Below are 18,613 nucleotides of genomic sequence, written 5' to 3' on the forward strand. Positions count from 1 at the left end.
GACCCAAGTTTATTTTCTGTTGGATGCCTCTAACTAGATTTGCCATAACTACCTCAAACTCAGCATATTCAAAAGGGAACTCATTACATCCTTTTCAACTTTCTCCCATATTCTCTTTGGCTGATGGTACAACTTGATATCTTCTTTTCCCTCGCTATTTACATCTGTTCAGTCTCCATTTCATACCCAGCTTATGCAGTTAAAACTCAAGAGACTCTATCTGTTTTTTATGATTTCCCCATCAGAATCTTACCAAAGCACCGTTGTTTGCATGTTCTATATTAAGTCTCAGCAAAGAAAAAAAAATCTTACTTTCATCCTCACTTTAACGGCCCAAGTTTCAGTGTTTGTCCTCTCTCCTTCCCATGGACTACTGCAGTAATCTTTTAGTTCTCCTGAGCTTAGTCTTAGCACTCTCTAAACTGTATGCTGCTGCCAGATACTGTTTTCTAAAACGTAGGTTTCATTGGGACATTCACCTTCTCAGAAACCTTCAGTGGCCTTCCATGGGTGACAGTAAAGCCTAGACTAGCATTTGGAAACCCTTGGTAATCTAACTCTCCCCAGCCACTACCCTTTTTCTCTGATTGGAATACAGTCACACGCACAGTCTCCCTTCTACCTGGTGAAATTGTTTTCAACTTTCAAAACTCCATTTAGTGGCTACTTTCCCTGTTATGCCTTTCCTAATACCCCCTGCTGAACTCCAGGGAAAATTACCCCCTATTTGGTATGCTCATCATATTTTTCTTTTTCTTTCTTTCTTTTTTTTTTCATTTTTTTTTTGTTTGTTTTGTTTTGTTCTGTGATGGAGTCTTGCTCTGCTGTCCAGGCTGGGGTACAGTGGTACAATCTCGGCTCACTGCAATCTCCACCTCCTGGGTTCAGTTCTCCTGCCCCAGCCTCCCAAGTAGCTAGGACTACAGGTGCACACCACCATGCCCAGCTAATTTTTGTATTTTTAGTAGAGACAGGGTTACCATGTTGGCCAGGCTGGTCTCGAACTCCTGGCCTGAAGTGTACTACCCGCCTCAGCCTCCCAAAGTGCTGGTGTGAGCCATCGCACCCGGTGCTCATATCATATTGTTAATGTGGCTTTTGTAATATTCAACTAATTGGTGATGTACAGACCTGCCTTCTTTGTGCTGTGAATTCCTTTACAGTAAATACGTCTCACTTATCTTTGAATTTTTATTACACAACAGAGTGTGTGGCACATAAAAGTAACCAGCAAATATTTATTGATTGGTAACCATGTTTGTAATTGGTAATCATGTTCCTACTGTTCTAGAAATCTAATAATAAATGGTCTTTTAGATTAATATTTCAAAGCCCTCTAGCTGTCTCTCTCTGCCTCTCTCTTTCTCTCTGCCACCTTTTCAAGATCTTTCATTATTTTAACGACTCCTTTTACTCTTCGTCAACATTGATTTAGCAAATATTTGACTCAAGTACTTAAACTTGTCTACTTTCACTCCATCACTCTAAGTTGTGAAATCCCAAAGTGAGCTATATTTTCCTGGTATAATTCTTGAGCAGAGCTAATAATAGGCACAGGAAGTACCTCATGTTTACTCCATTTTATTTCTACATTCTAGCATCAAACCTCTCATTTGTCAGCCTTTGTGATTTACTGTTCACTTATGATTGACCGTGACCATTTACATCTTCATTATTTATCCATAGCCAGCAGACACCTGCTTATGTCACTAGATTTTTTTTTCTCTTTATGATAAAAATCATTAGAGAAGGACTATTCTTCAAACATACCTTCAAACATCTTTCTACTTTCTCTAAGTCTTACTAGCTTCAAAGATCCTTTGAAGAAAGAATTGAAAATTCCAACTTCTCTTTTCTGGGGAGTTGCTATACTTTTAAAAAGTGTAATAATTCTAAGTTTCACGGGATAAAATTTTGTCATTTAAAATTTCTTAAGTATATTATAGTGTCATATTTTATTTTTATGAGTGCTTAAGTATAAGCACAATATGCAAAAAGTAACACAGATTTCATTGTACTAGAGTATCCATGAGTCAAAAGGGCATACAGAAGTTTACATTGAAAGAAGTCAAGTCTAACACATGACATTTATTATTGCAAAGTGTTGTATAGGAAATAAAATTCAATGTGTCTGTAAATGCCCTAAATCCTCTTATAAGTTATTTGTCCAACATGTTAAGCCTAATGGAAAAAAATCCCTTTATACCAATAAATAAGGCAACTTAAGCAGAAGATTCATGATGAAGCCAGAAAAACTCTATAAATAATGGGGTAGTACCCAGGGAGGAGGGAGGTAAAGGAAAGGGCAGTAGATCATTAGCACAATAAGGAAAGGATATTCCCATCAGTAAGTAAGCAGTGATATTTGGCCAAATCTAGGTCATGATCAAGGATATAATCACAAGTGAGATGTTTTACATTGTGCAATGTAGCTGGCATACTCATCTACAGATGGAATGGCTTGCTTCCCAGAATGCAATCACTACTATATAACAGTGTCCTTATTATTTCCAGTTTGGAAAAGAGGATTGTAAAGCAGAATATCTCTGGTTCCGACCTGTATCCCATTCAAACATGATCCACGCTATTTTGTTTTCAGATATTTTTACAGACCAACTCTCTGCTGTATCATACCCAAGATTTAGGGTGTCAAAGAAAGATATGAAATTGTATATTCATTGTATTTTTTTGTTTGTTTTATAAACTAATGACTCAGAAACATATACCTATAGAGCCAGAATAGCCTAGGATAGAAACTAAGGAATTCTCTATCGGTAAAATATCTTTTTTTTTTTTTTTTTGAGATGGAGTTTCTCTCTTGTTGCCCAGGCTGGAGTGCAATGGCACAATCTCGGTTCACTGCAACCTCTGCCTCCCAGGTTCAAGTGATTCTCCTGCCTCAGCCTCCCAAGTAGCTGGGATTACAGGTGCTCGCCACCAGGCCCAGCTAATTTTTTTTGTATTTTTAGTAGAGATGGGGTTTTGCCATGTTGGCCAGGTTGGTCTCGAACTCCTGACCTCAGGTGATCCGAGTGCCTCGCTTCGGCCTCCCAAAGTGCTGGGATTACAGGCGTGAGCCACTGCTCCTGGCCCTCTATCGGTAAGTTATCTTAATAACTCAGGCTCCTGGCAAGTTTTGCCTAACCCTTCAGCAGCTAACTAATCTTTCAAATAGTTTTCTAGAGAAAGTAGTTTCATAACTTGACTTGATTCCATTGCTTTGCCATCCTTAATGTAAACTTCTTTTTAATTATCAGAGTTTCTCTTTTTAAAATTTAAATTCAGGTCCTATTATTTTGACGTGGGAAACTCTGGAAGATATCTAATAAGACTTGTTCTTTAAATACATATCCACTTCATGTCTATGGATATAGTTATATCCCTTAATTCAATCTTCCCTGAGCTTAATTATCCATCTTTTGTTCATGGTTTGGCATTTCCCAAACGTTCAGCACTTCTTTTATTCTTCATCGGACATCAGGTTTTTACATATTCTTTAAACAGTGGAGGATCCAGATTTGTGAGGCTGTATTTTGTATAATTTGGGAGCAGCCATTTAAGAAAAGGAATTTTTTTTTAAAAGAAATCTTTTTTATTTTTAAATTTTAGCAAAACACATGGCCAAGTGAGCACATTGCCAGTGCCCCTCCCATGCAAGTTAGAAGTCCTAATGCTTTTGCTCATTAGCTTCATGGTGAATCTGTCTCTGCCCTTTGAGTCGTTCATCCCATAAATTAACCACAGCTCTTTTAAAAAGGCCAAACTGTCAAAAAGTATAAGCCCAAGTAAGATATTGGCTATCACATATGCATGCTGGTCTGGTATTTACACTAAATTAATCAGCATTGTCTTCATTAAGTAAGAAATAGTTATTGCATGCCTCTTTTGTATTAGGTGCTGTAATAGGCTTATAGTTAAGGGTGCTTATCTTAATAGAATATCACACCTGAAGCAAACTAAACCAACAGAGTCTACCCTTTCTTTTTTTTTTTTTTTTTTTTTTTGAGACGAAGTTTCGCTCTTGTTGCCCAGACTGGAGTGCAATGGCACGATCTTGGCTCACTGCACAACCTCCACCTCCCAGGTTCAAGCGATACTCCTGCCTTAGCCTCCCGAGCAGCTGGGATTACAGGCATGCACAACCACGCCTGGCTGATTTTTGTATTTTTATTAGAGACAAGTTTTCTCCATGTTGGTCAGGCTGGTCTCGAACTCCCTACCTCAGGTGATCCGCCCGCCTCAGCCTCCCACAGTGCTGGGATTACAGGCGTGAGCCACCGCGACCAGCCAGAATCTACCTTTCAGAGGCTGTTAAACTAAGCCAACACCGAAGCAAATGTGCATAAAGGATATCTATGAATATCTGAATGCATGTTAAATACATAATGGATATATTAACATTATATATAAAATAGGGTGAGTGCATCTTGTAGTGATGGTTAGTGAAGCAGCCCTTGAAGTCTCCAATTTAATCTGAGGGAGGAGAGGTTTAAAGGTATGCTTGCTCTATAACTTCATTGCCCTTACCAGCAATATTACCTAGTGGCGTGAGGTTAATTTAAGGACCACCATGACCACTAAGTGCTATGTTTTCATACTTTTCCACACCTCATCAGTGCTCCTTTTTTTGTTTGTGTTGCTCGGTTTCCATTCATTTTTGATGTTTTATATATATATATATTTCTCTACATATAAAGATTACCCTGAGTTTTCAGACAACATCAATAAAGGGAAAGGTGCTACCCCATAATTACTGAAAGGACATCTTGCTGTCAATATCTTGGAAGATAGGACAACAAATCATCAAACAATCACTTTCTACTTACAAAAGCACAAGGTTCTGACTGGCAATCAAGAAGGCTTTGTGAAAAACAAATTGAGCAAAACCATCTTAATCTACTTCTTTGAAAGAATCTGTTCCCCATACTGCAAAAAAAATCTCTCTGTTCACTAGGATTTTTATTCCCTCCCATGTGACAGTCATTCTCAATGATTGAAAATAATAAGAACTAGACTTTAGAGTACGATTTTAACTGATAGTAAGACAGTGCTCTAGGTGGGTCTGGGACATAGAGCAAAAGTAGACTAACCCTCTAGTGCTTCTTTTGATGATCCCTAAGAGCCATGAGTGAAAGAGGCTTGTTTGTGATGCTTATTATTGATTCCCCAGGGACTAGAACGGTATGTGACAGTTCATGCTGGATAATGAATGAATGAATGTTTCCTGCTTCTCAATGAAGGCATAAGTCACTGGATATTAATCAGCCTACTTTTTTCTTACCTTTATTGCTTCCCTGCCCTCTTCTTCCTTTCCCTGTCCCTCTCATCACCCAAAGGACAGATAAATTTTCAATGGCAGTATGTCCAGAGAGATTTCTAACACTTCATTAAAAAAGGAATTTTATTGGCTGTGTATGTTCCCTCAGAAATAGGATCAAGCTCAGTTAGGAATTAGTAAGATATAAATTAAGGGCACCAAGCAGGTAGCATGCAGACAAGAACATACATAAATTCACTGGAAAAAGATTCTTGATTTTTAGTGGAACAGTACAGTACTAACCATGAATTAGCAGTATATGAGGTGTAACTGTTTTTTAAAGAAGACAAATCAGAAATGTGTAAAGTCAAAGAAATTTTAAGCCTCTTGTTATCTTAATTGAAGGATAATGATATTACCCTAAATATTTTGGGAACCCTTATTTTGGATTTCCCTAAGAGTTATGCAGCATGTGCTTTAGGTCTTTCCAGGAGTACTAAATATTTGTAATCTGAGGGTGCGCTTGATTTTTGGAAATAGCCGGAAGTTACATCAAGCCAAGTTTTATCAATAAGATACATGATCAAACTGAGTAACAAAATATGTGGTCAAAAATATTGTGAATATAAAATAATGAGACTAATTTCATTTGATTCAGAGGTTAATTCGGAACGAGGAGTTTCAATTACAGTGTAATAGCCCTCACCAACACAAGTTTAGGACTTCCAAAGGTGGCTATTTGTAGGACAGGATTCAGCAGATATATCGGAACCAATCTTCTAACTTTACAGTTGCACTTGAAAATGTTACAAAACAAATGCTATAATATTTTAGAAGATTTAGAGCATGAAAAACTGGTAGATATTGGATAGCACATCTCTTAGAGTATTGTTTCCAGCTTTGTCCTCTTCTTTTTTGGGGAGGCAGGTGAGGATGGAGAAGTCTATAATTTAAAAATAATATCTAACAAGTAGAGAACACCCAGAAGAAAACCTAAACATTATTAAATGTAGGCAAATTAGTCTCTATGAGAAAGTTATTGTTCAGAAAATGGTATTGATTGGCTTAATTTAAAGTCCCAACAGTTTTTCTCAAGGGTCTCTTGGATCCCATCCTTCCCCCAGTACTCTACAAGCTAAGAAATTCACCTGCGTTGCATTTAGGGATTAGTTTCAACTTTGTGGAATTCAGGCAATATGGCGGTTCCTGGGGACAAGCTACACCTCCATGAAAAAGTTTTAAGGAAGATATTGACCAAGTTTCTATTTCACAGAGGCCAACAGACAAGACGTGGGCTTAAAAAACTGACAGCTTTTAGCGAGGCATAAGGAAATATTTCCTTTTTGAGGAGGTTAAGTATCAGAAGAGGTTCCTGAGGGAGATCATGGAACCCTATCCACAGGCAGAACATTAGAGCAAGCATTCTTCTAGAGCCCTTCCTGTTCTGTGAGTCTATAATTCTACTTGTCAAGGTAATTTGATATTCTTATCCAAGTCTCTAAGGTGCTTTTGCCACCACCTAAATTGGTCTCATCAAAAACCTTATTGATTGTGCTGCCTCTCCCATCTTCTAAGATGGTGACAGTATTAAGGCAGTAAACTCAGATCTCAGACCTGTCACATACCACTTGTTTTGTCATTTCCCTCCACCTATACCTCCCCAAGATGTTTTTTCATTAAAATATTGTTACCAGTCACTTTAGAATTTCATTCTGTTCCTTTGGTTCAAAAAATTGTAATTAATTTCCTATAGTCACTTAAAGCACTTCGTAGATTTTAATCAACAGAGGTCTACATTGGCATGTTGAGCTCAGTTGTTTATCCCTTCCAGATGGAGATAAATATTCTCAAATACCTACTAAGAAAAATATGTCTGCAGAAACCTGCAGCATTAGAAAACCTATTCTTTGCTGCAGATTGCAGATTAACTTCTAGCTAATCAGAGTTCAGCATTCTAATGGACTGTGACGGGAGAGACAGTTTTTCCCCCAACTTCAGATCACATGTTTCTGCAGTTGTAAGGCAAATTTTAAAAGGCCTTGGGGATCACAGCCAGCCTTCATTATCGGTGCATGACCGCTTTGTAACCAACTGTAAGTTTAATATCCAAGGAGATTTGCACATAACAGTCTTTTTTCTTTCTTCTTGTTTTTAATAATTCACCTTTGAGATTCTCTTCACCACCATGCTGGTGTGCAAAGATCTGTTTGTCTGTCAAACCTACAGATATGTAGCGCATGTGAAAGCTACATTAATTTTTTATTTGTTTCCTAAGGAGGCTGAACAATAAGCTGGTTTTGCTGAATACAAGAGGGCTACTTCAGTGAACACATACTTGAATTCACTTCAGCTGGCTCCCTCACCTGCAGCACAGCAGTTTCTCCTATGATTCTCCCCTCTGCCAAAAGGGAGTCACTTATACAACTAAACTCAAGGACTTTTTGTATAAACCATCCACCTGAACCTGAGAAGGTTTTGTCTGAAACCAAAAGATTACTAGAAAAGCTGTGTAAAGCAGGGCGTGGTGGCTCAGGCCTGTAATCCCAGCACTTTGGGAGGGCAAGGCAGGCGGATCACCTGAGATGGGGAGTTCGAGACCAGTCTGACCAACATGGAGAAACCCTGTCTCTACTAAAAAAAATACAAAAAAAATTAGCTGGGCGTGGTGTCGCACGCCTGTAGTCCCAGCTACTCAGGAGGCTGAGGCAGGAGAATCACTTGAACCCAGGAGGCAGAGGTTGCAGTTAGCTGAGATTGTGCCATTGCACTCCAGCCTGGGCAACAAGAGCGAAACTCCGTCTCAAAAAAAAAAAAGAAAGAAAAGCCGTGTAACACTGTTTGTGGATCCTGCAAGTATCTCATTCAAAACAAATGCCTCATTTTCAAAATTAGAACACTTCTTTTAACTTTGGAGACTCAATGTAAACACTAATCTCTACACAAGTGAATTTCCTCAGCGGAATATTGAGCTATGTCAGTGTGACAAATGTCATGGATATCGGGCCTCTGAAACGCTAAGCACTGGCATTTTTAAGAAAATAAATGTAGATGTCAGTGAACCATAACCTATAGATGATTAGAAAGAAACTTACCATTCGAAAGTGGATGTTTTCTTCAAGGCTGCTAAGATTTTCTACAATAAAGAAATATGAGGTGCGTAGGGAACTATGTGTAGAGACGTTCTCGGTAATTTAATGTTTTGAAAACTCCCAGGCTGAAAACTATTATTATGTAAATCAACTAGCTCCAGCTGCTAATTCTTAGAAAATGGAAAGAGTATCTAAAGTTTAACTAGATTTTGACCTTTTATGTTATGAAGACTACAACAAGGAAGAAAGAGGAAGTTTGTTAGGGGGTTATTTTTTAAGGTGGTCAGGGAAGGCTTCACTCATAAGACAGACATTCAAGCAGAGACTTAAGGGAGATACTTTTTTTTTTTTTTTTTTTTTGAGACGGAGTTTCGCTCTTGTTGCCCAGGCTGGAGTGCAATGGCGCGACTCGGCTCACTGCAACCTCCGCCTCCCAGGTTCAAGCGATTCTCCTGCCTCAGCCTCCCGAACAGCTGGGATTACAGGCATGCACCACCATGCCTGGCTAATTTTGTATTTTTAGTAGAGACGGGGTTTCTCCATGTTGGTCAGGTTTCAAACCCCTGACCTCAGGTGATCCGCCTGCCTCGGCCTCCCAAAGTGCTAGAATTACAGGCGTGAGCCACTGTGCCCGGCCTGAGGGAGGTACTTAAGAGCAGAAGGAACGCAAGTGTAAAGATGAGGAGCGAGGGAGACCAGTGGGGCTGGAAGAGAATAGCTGAGGAAGAGATGAGGACAGAGAGAGGTAACAGGAGGTCAGATCACATAAGGCTTTATATGCTATTGGAAGCACTATTTTTTTTTCAACTATGAGTAGGAATAGATGGCCTCACTGCCAGAAAAAAAAGAAGGGAAGAGATGAGGACAGGGCTTCAGGGGAAGGTGAAAATTAAAGGGTGGGACAGGGAAGTATAGTCTAGAATGGATATGGAGGGAATGCAATGCTGTCTGTAGGAAGAAATGAACATAGTACCTCAGGAATCAAAGAGGGAAGAAAATTTCTATTTTGTTTGGTTTAGCAGATTACCTATGGTCTGTTATACTTCTGTGTTTCATACCATATTTACACAGGTTAATAAGCATGCCTTTAATCCCTGTCTAACTACAGTATCAATACATTTGTTCAGTGTCTGTTACTGAGGCACCTAACTACTTGAGCAAGCTAATCAAGGTTTCAATTACCCCAGTGAGAAAGAAGTTCTACTTCTCTGTTGCAATCGTAGTTGATTGGTTGATGAAGTATTTATAAGATCTTTCATAAGAGGAACTTTAAAGGTCACTTGTACCATAATAAGTGGAAATCGCTGGGAAAGAAAAAGTTTAGCAGTATTATAGTGCTGATAAAGTCTTCAGAGGTACTGACTCTCAGAGTCTAGTTACTGCAGCTGAAAATTCTTTGCCCTGAGCATTTGTCATGACTCCTTCAATCCAATATGCCCTTTAAACACAGTGAAACTATAGAAAAGGAATATCTAATGTTGTTGGGTGTTAATTAAGGAGTAGGCTTCCTTCCTTTCCTTAATGGAAAGCCTTAATTTGTCTTCAGTTGCAGCTGAAAATTCTAAAGACTCATTTCCACCATCTTATGTAGGTTTTTTCTCTAATGATCAGGTTGTTCAATTTCTTGTTCAGATGCTGAAAAACTCATCTTGACTCACACTGTATCTTCCTACTTGTAACCTGATGTGATCATTCTCAAATGGGAGTGAAAAAGACCTGTACAACTATATGAGTCCTGATTTACTTTTGATATTCTTTAAGATTTTCACCCACCTTTACTATAATAACAAATAAGGACCTCAGCCCAAGCTACAAATCAGGTAGAGGTAACATACATTGGGATCTGTGTTTCCTATCACCTCTTTTCTCCTTGGTTCCAGGCAAGTGCAACAAAAGTGTCAATAGTATAGGCCAGGTGTGTTAGCTCATGCCTGTAATCCTAGCACTTTGGGAGGTTGAGGCGGGTGGATCACCTGAGATCAGCAGTTTGAGACCAGCCTGACCAACATGGTGAAACCCCGTCTCTACTAAAAATACAAAAATTACCTGGGCGTCGTGGTGGGCACCTGTAATCCCAGCTACTCGGGAGGCTGAGGCAGGAGAGTTGCTTGAACCTGGGAGGCGGAGGTTGCAGTGAGCCAAGATCGTGCCATTGCACTCCAGCCAGGGCGACAAGAGCACAACTCCATCTCAAAAAAAACAAAAACAAACAAACAAAAAAAACTGTCAGTAGTAGCCAAAACAATTCAAGCACAGAATATGTTAACTATATGAAGTAGAGGAAAAGGGAAGAAGAATTTTTAAAAAGAAAAAACTTTTTGGTAAAATGATGAAAAGTTATTGCATATAGAATTGCCTTTCCTGTTTCATTGTCATGTTTAGGACATCTTTGGGACAGGGAAAGGAAACTGCTGCTATAACCTTACCTAGTTCACTGGTCTGGACAACCTGTCCATTGCTACCTATTTTGCCTCCTGTTATGACTGGAATGAAATGAGAACCCCACCAATAAGCAAAAAGTTTCCACCTTTCATCCTATCTCCTACTTGCAATCCCTCAGTAGTGATATTCCAGCACAGCTAACAGCCTCCTATCAGTAAAGATGGGAAAAGTATCAGAAAGCTTAGCAAGGCCTGGGGTAGGGAACCAAGTGTGGGCTAATTCTCCTGGTCCTTCCGTAAACATTAAGGCAGACTAAGTGAATCCCTCATTCTAAGACAAATGTTCCCTAAAGAAGTAAAATTAAACTCCTATTTTCCAAAGCAATTGGACTTTTATTGTACTGTGTGCTTTATTTTCTGAGTGAGGTGACAGAACTAGAGATGTTTAAAAAAAAAAAAAACAGTAATTCCCCTCCAAATTTACTACCTTTCCCCAGGAACCTTCATCACTCAGTTTTTGCTACAGTCCTGTAAGGCATGTTGAAACTTGAGTAAAATGATGCATGAATTTGTTAGTCAAAATAGCAAATTATTCTATGACCTTTATTATTTCTTAGATTTGTCAAATATGATATCCTAACACCAAGAATTTTCCCCCAAAACCTCCTGTTTATTTTACCTCTATCTTTTTTCTCTTGGCACAGAAAGACGAGTCCTATTATCTGTTCAAAGTTGGTGGCTTAGAGAGTGTGTGGGTGTTTTGTTTCTTCAAATTTTTACCTGATGTTGCAAGATTTTCATATCAAAAAGAATTCTTCTTTCTCCCCAGTGTGCACGCACATATGTGGACATGGTCCTGGATTGGAGGAAATGGAGTACAGACCCTGAAATGCATGGGACCTTTGTATTGCCCAAATGTGGAATAATATAATAATAACCACCACCATTTATTGAACATGTTTTATGTGCCAGGCACTGTTATTAATAGCTTTATATGTGATTCCTCATTAAATCGCAAACCAACACTGTGAAGTACAGGTACAATCATGTGTTGCTTAATGACAGGGATACAGTCTGAAAAATGCATTGTTAGGTGATTTCATTGTTGTATGAACATGACAGAGTGTACTTATACAAACCTAGATGCTATGGCCTACTATACATTTAGACTATACGGTATACGTAAGCCTGTTGTTCGTCGACTACAAACCTGTACGGCATGTTACTGTACAGAATACAGTATGTAACACATTGGTAAGTATTTGTGTATCTAAACATCTAAACAGAAGAGGAACAATAAAAATACTATATTAAAAATAAAAATGGTACACCTGTATTAGGGCACTTAGCATGAATGCACCTTAGAAGATTGGAAGTTGCTGTCCTCAGACACAAGCACACACATTAGCCTAGGACTACACAGGGTCAGGATCATCAGTATCACTGTCTTCCATCTCCATGTGTTACCCCACTGGAAATCTTCAGGGGCAATAACACACATGGAGTTGTCATCTTGTGTGATAACAATGCCTTCTTCTGGAGGACTTGAAGGACCTGCCCGAGGCCATTTTACAGTTAACTTGTTATAAGTAGGTGTACACTCTAAATGGTAGAAAGTATGGTATAGCAAATACGTAAACCAGTAACATAGTCACTTATTATCAGTATCAAGTACTGTGTATTGTACATCATTGTATGCACTATACTTTTATAGGACTGGTAATGCAGTAGGTTTGTTTATACCAGCATCACCATAATAAGTACATGAGTAATGTGTTGTGCTCTGACATTATGGTGGCCGTTTCCTCACTAGGTAAAAGGAATTTATCAGTTCTGTTATAATCTTATGGGACTGCCTTCATATATGTGGTCCCATCTGTTGTACTACATGTCATTATGAGATGCATGACTATATTTCACAGATTCAGAAAAGAGGGTTAGCTCAGTTAAGTAAATGGCCCAAGGGCATAAAGCACTATGGTCTCTAGAGGAGCTTGGATTTAAACTAGATCTCCCAGCCCTTCAAGGCCATCCTGTGTTCATTATGATATGCTGTTTTACTTAGAAAGTTTGGATTATGGATCCCGACTTAAAATGATCCATATAAAGAGGACAATTTCCTATTATTTTTACTCTGGCCATAAAATTACAGGTAAGACATTTAAAAAAAATCTTATCAAGATGCATAAAATTAGAATTATACTTATCTAGGAAATATGGAAATGGATGGTATTCTGGTCAGGGGTTATTTAATAAAAATTTTAAGTGTTTTATTTTTAAAAGAGGCGACTGAAAGAAACAATTTAAAAATTCTTCAGTGTCTAGCAAAAAAAAACCCAGAAAACTTAAAAAAAAAAATCTAAAAGCACAGTCTGAATTAAAGCAAAGAAAGAATCAGTTGCTCAGAGAGTTCAAGATTAAAAATGTGAAAAATATTTAAAAATTAGCTGGGCTTGGCTGGGCACAGCAGCACACACCTACAATCCCAGCACTTTAGGAGGCCAAGGCGGGCGGATCACTTGAGGTCAGGAGTTTGAGACCAGCCTGGCCAACATGGTGAGACCCCGTCTCTACAAAAAATACAAAAATTATTTGGGCATGGTGTCACATGCCTGTAATCCCAGCTACTCGAGAGGCTGAGGTGGGAGAATCGCTTGAACCCAGGAGGCGGAGCTTGCAGTGAGCTGAGATCGCGCCACTGCACTCCAGCCTGGGCGACAGAGTGAGACTCCGTCTCAAAAAAAAAAAAAAATTAGCTGGGCTTGGTGGTGCAAGCCTGTAATCTCAGCACTTTGGGAGGCCGAGGCAGGAGGATCACTTGACTTCAAGACCAGCCTGGGCAACATAGCTGGGCTCCATCTGTAGAAAGGAAGGAAAGAAAGGAAAGGAAAGAAAAAAGAAAGAAAAGAAAGAAACTTTGCCAGGCATGGCAGCTCACACCTGTAGTCCCAGCTACTTGAAAGGTTGAAGCAGGAGGATCTCTTGAGCCTAGGAATTTGAGGTTGCAGTAAGCTGAAATTGTACCACTGCACCGCAGTCTGGGTGACAGAGGGAGACCCTGACTCTAAAAAAAATTGTGGAATTTCCCCTATTTTGTTGAGTTTTCATTAAAACTACTATCTCAGTGACTCATATTTAGTGTATAAAAAGATTTGCAATATAATACACACCACGTTTCTTTATATTGTTGCCAAATCATTTCTCTCAGTATCATTTTCAAATCCTTCCAACACCCCTGATCAACGAAGAAATACTCCTCAGTGTGATCACAGTATTCCTCTGGCACCAGAGTTACCAATTTGTTCACCATGACATTTCTAATTTACGTAATTTTATGGTTATGTGACTCTACTATCATACAACTTCTGATACTGTAATGAACTGAAAGTCTTGCCAACTATATTCACGCGGGTAACCAGAATGATCCAAAACTCAAAAGAGAAAATGAATACATTCCTAGTATTTTTTTTTCTTTTCATGAGTGCCAAGTTACAGTGATATATATGGAATCGTAGAATTACCTTAGATGCCAATATTATGGTACAGTTGAAAATCATATTCAGTATAGTTATGAGGGTAGATAGTATCAGGTTGGTATATTTCCAGTCATAGATTATGTCCTCATAACTTCCCCAAAAAGGGAGGAAGGGGGTTTGCAAAATAAGTCATTGAAAACAGATGTGGTCATTTGTCTGTCAATGACTGAATTCTTGCTGTTCAAACTTTTAAATGATTCTGTTATACATAATAATCACAGCTACTATATAATAAGCATTTCCTCTGTACCAGGCTTTGTCTTAAGTGTTTTATATAAGCATTATTTCACTTAATCTGTTCAACAGTCCTGTGATTTAAGTAGTATCTTGATTCTGCAGATGTGGAAACTAAAGCTCAAAGAGATGAACTAACTTGTTCAAGGTCACACAGTTTTTAGGATAAGTGATGGAGCTTTGATTTGAAACCAGATTTTTCTGATTCCAGGATCCTTACTACCAATGGTTTTATTTCTCTGTCCCTGAAATATGCCTTCAGCTTTCAGTGATCTCATGGTGCTTGTAAAGTACTTGAGCAGTCAGTCATCTCTGGAATAGGAAGCCATTAGAAGCCATGAAAGTAAGGAATTGTTTGCTGTAATGGTGGTGGTGGTGGTAGTGGTGGTTTATGTTTTCAAATATCAAGGCAAGGTTGGAAGATGCTTGCTTCGTGTAGACCTGACCTGAATGAGGCTGGCATCTGGGCTCCTTGGAATTTTCTGAATCAGTTTCATCCATTTCTTAAAGCTTAATTGAAATAAATGAGAGGTCTTAGCATTTACGTGAATTTCTTTCTTTTTTTTTTTAGCATATGACATTTTTAGTCTGTAGGTCTTATTTAGTGATTATGCATAGCAAGGGAAATAAGATTTGTAATTTATTCACTTTTTTTTTCAGTAAGGCAATAGAGGTTTCAGTGAGAGATTTTAAAAATTAGGTTGGTGAATATTTCGTAGTAAATCCTAGATACATTTTTCATTATATTTTACTCATTTTGTACCTTTTACCAACCCTTAACAGATATGCCAGTAAAACTGAGACTTTTTTCTGTAAACATATTTCTTATCTTGTATGAGGTTAGTACCAAAACACTTTTTCAATTAGCATCCTTTTAACAGAACACTGTCCTGTACAATGACAGAATCTAATCAGTTGGCATTTCCAACCCTGAGAAATAATGATTAATGCTTACTTGAGAATGATCTTTAAGTACTCATGAGTTAGTGTTTTAAAATGTTTAGTGAGGCTTGACAAGTACAAAGTAATGTTAATCAGTCAATTATTTAGGGGATTTTCTTAACCTGACCTTAAATTTGCTCCTACTGCTTTTGTTCTTTTGATTATTTGATTTTTATTTTGTAAGAATTAGGATGATGAGAATACATCCCATCCCTCAAAATAATTTTTTTCTTCACCAGCTTTTACATTTTTAGAAGGGTTAAACAATGTCTTAAAAACTAAAGATTATTGATATGAAACTGTCTTTAAGATTTCCCTTTCTCTAAGCATGCATTTTCTATCCCTAATTTCCTAAAGCCAGAGCCAAGTAAAAACACCAAGAGGAATATGTTATTCTTTTCAGCATGAGGCCTTTTCATGAAAACAGCACTAGTGACCAGAATCTTATTCTAGTCTGTGTTGCTTGAAAAATATATGCCTTTGTAGATGTTTTCATTTACTGTCAATAATGCCAAACCACAGAAATGGTTTTTTTAATTCTGTTTTGGCCTCTTAAAGATTACACATTGCCATTACAAATTGTGATTGTTTTGTAGTTAAATCTATTCCTGAAACATTTCAGATATAAACTGATAGACCTATTACTTGTTCTGTTTTATCCTTTAGTAGATCTACATTCATGTTGTTTTAGTGGTGCCTTTTGCAAGCTTCCCTCTCATATAAAAATTTAATCTCTAGCCTTATTTTCTTCTATCGCAAATTGTATCACTTTGATTTTTATATGAACTTTTTTTTTAGTTTTAGCATATTTTCCAGAAATAATAAATACATGGAGAATGCTACAGAAATAGCATGATTCAAGTTCATGTACAATATAATGCCTATCAATAATCTGTATCAACATTTCTATTTTCAAAATGTGGTTTTGATTTGGGCGTTTCTTTTTGTAATCATTTCTACTGTCTTTATTAGATGATCTTAGTCGATCAAAGGATGCTTATAAAAAATCAACACAGTCTTGGGAATCGGACTGCCAGGTTTATGAAATGAAAATATAGGATTCCCAGTTGAAGCTGAATTTCAGATAATGAATAATTTTTTAGTATCAATATATCCTAAATATTACATGATTTTTTTTCTATTTAAGTATGTTCCAAATATTATATGAGACATACTTCTACTAACAAAAGTATTCACAGTTTATCTGAAATGTAAATTTAACTGAGAAGCCTGTATTTTATCTGGCAACTCTATTTGGAAGGCATCATAGTAGTGAAAATGAACATAGAGGCTAATGCCAAACAGTCCTAGGTGGTTGTGTTACTTAAGAAGCTGTGTAGCTTTGGGTATGTCACTTAGCCTACCTGAACCTAAATTTCATGTATAAAATGGAACAAATAATACCTACTTTGCAGGTTTTCTATAAAGATTATAAAGTATGTATTTAAGACTAGATAATGTTTAAAACTCCTGGTACATAATAGATTTCCCTTAAAGAGTAGCTGTTATTATCAGAACAAAGAAGAAATACAAATGCAAGTAACCAGCCGTTTTTTTTCCCTCCATCTTAATAAACTATGTGAGGAATCCTAATGGGAGCACTCAGCATGTAAACAACCCATTAGATTGATAATATAATAGTCCACCCAGATCTTGGTGACTGTTTACCAAATTAGAGATTTGACCACTAATAAAATATATACAAGCATTAGCCTTCTTTCTTTCCTCTGCTACTTGCCTCTTTTCATGTTACTTACCAAACATTATATAGCTTATTAGTATCAGGGCCTGAATATGTGATGCCTTTTCACATTGTTTTTTCCCTTTTGAGTTACAATTTTACTTCCATCCTGTCTTTCTTAGACATCTATTTATTAATGTGATTAATTTTTATTGAGATAATTTACATACCATAAAATTTACCATTGTAGTTTATATAATTCAGTGGTTTGGCCGGGTGCGGTGGCTCACGCCTGTAATCCCAGCACACTGGGAGGCCAAGCCGGGCTTATCACTTGAGGTCAGGAGTTCGAGACCAGCCTAACCAACATGGTGAAACCCCAGTTGTCACCACTGGAGTGGGATCATACTGGCATCTGGCAGGTAGAGGCCAGGGATGCTGCTAAACATCCCACAACGCATAGGACAGCTCCTACCAAAGAATAATCTAGCCCAAAGTGACAGTCGTGCTGAGGTTGAGAAACCCTGCTTTAAAATTATGATTCTAGTATGCCAGTTTATTTTTAAGTGGTAGTCTTTGAGTTCATCTACAATAGCCAGGTACCTTTGTGCTCCTAGCCTATTGCTATGGAGTCTAAGAGCACAAAAACAATGACAGGAGAAAGGGGAGGTACCAGTGAAGGTAAAATCATTTAGATTTTGTAGGAAGAAATCAATTCTTGCAAGTCAGGAGAATTTTGAAAGTGTTTTTAAGGCTATTTTAAACTGCTGTGTCTTTTAACATAAAGAAAAAAATTATTTCAATATAAACCCCTCCAGGCAAAGCCTTGTAGACGTATTCTCGTTATTGAGTCTTTTTCTTTAGGGTTTCTGGAACAAAATAGTTTTTGTCAAACAGCTTGTACATGCTATGAAGTATATTTAATCAATCATAATAGAAAAAAGAAACAGAGCAGCTTGATGGAGGGAACTTGTAGTTGATATGTCTCTGCATTCGTGATTTACCTGAACTCAAAGGAAGTTGATATTCCAGCTGATCACATTAATTCAGCTTTGTCTAATACCAACTACTGGAATGTACTCATTCACTTATGTTCCACAAATAATCTATCCAAAATAAAACAGACAATAGCTTGAAATATGTTTCAGCATTTCTAAATATTTTCACAAGTAAAAAGCTGTCATATTTGAAGGTATTTCTTTTCTGTGATAATACTGTTGATTGTTTCCTGCCCTGCATGATTAGATGTAATCATTATCACCAGCACCAGGACCACCATCATCGCCATCATAGACTAAAATTCCTTGATTATAATATATCAGGATCTATTCTAAGCACTTTATGTTTGTATCATTTTTCCTCACAAAACTCCTATAAGGTAGTTTTTTTCTTAATCTCAATTTTGCAGATAACAGAAAAGTACACAATAAAGGGGATAAAATACTTGCTGAGTCATATTTCCTTACTATGTCTTCTCATGTGTCAAACTAGTT

The 18,613-nt window shown here is 37.6% G+C and overlaps 1 protein-coding gene across 2 annotated transcripts in view; it reads left to right on the forward strand.

Moving 5' to 3' along the window:
• DIAPH2 (diaphanous related formin 2) overlaps positions 1-18,613 on the forward strand; it is a 920,156-nt gene that overhangs the window by 680,077 nt on the left and 221,466 nt on the right. The window lies entirely within an intron of this gene.

Source organism: Homo sapiens, chromosome X, assembly GCF_000001405.40.
Source record: "Homo sapiens chromosome X, GRCh38.p14 Primary Assembly".
Classification (NCBI taxonomy): domain Eukaryota; kingdom Metazoa; phylum Chordata; class Mammalia; order Primates; family Hominidae; genus Homo; species Homo sapiens.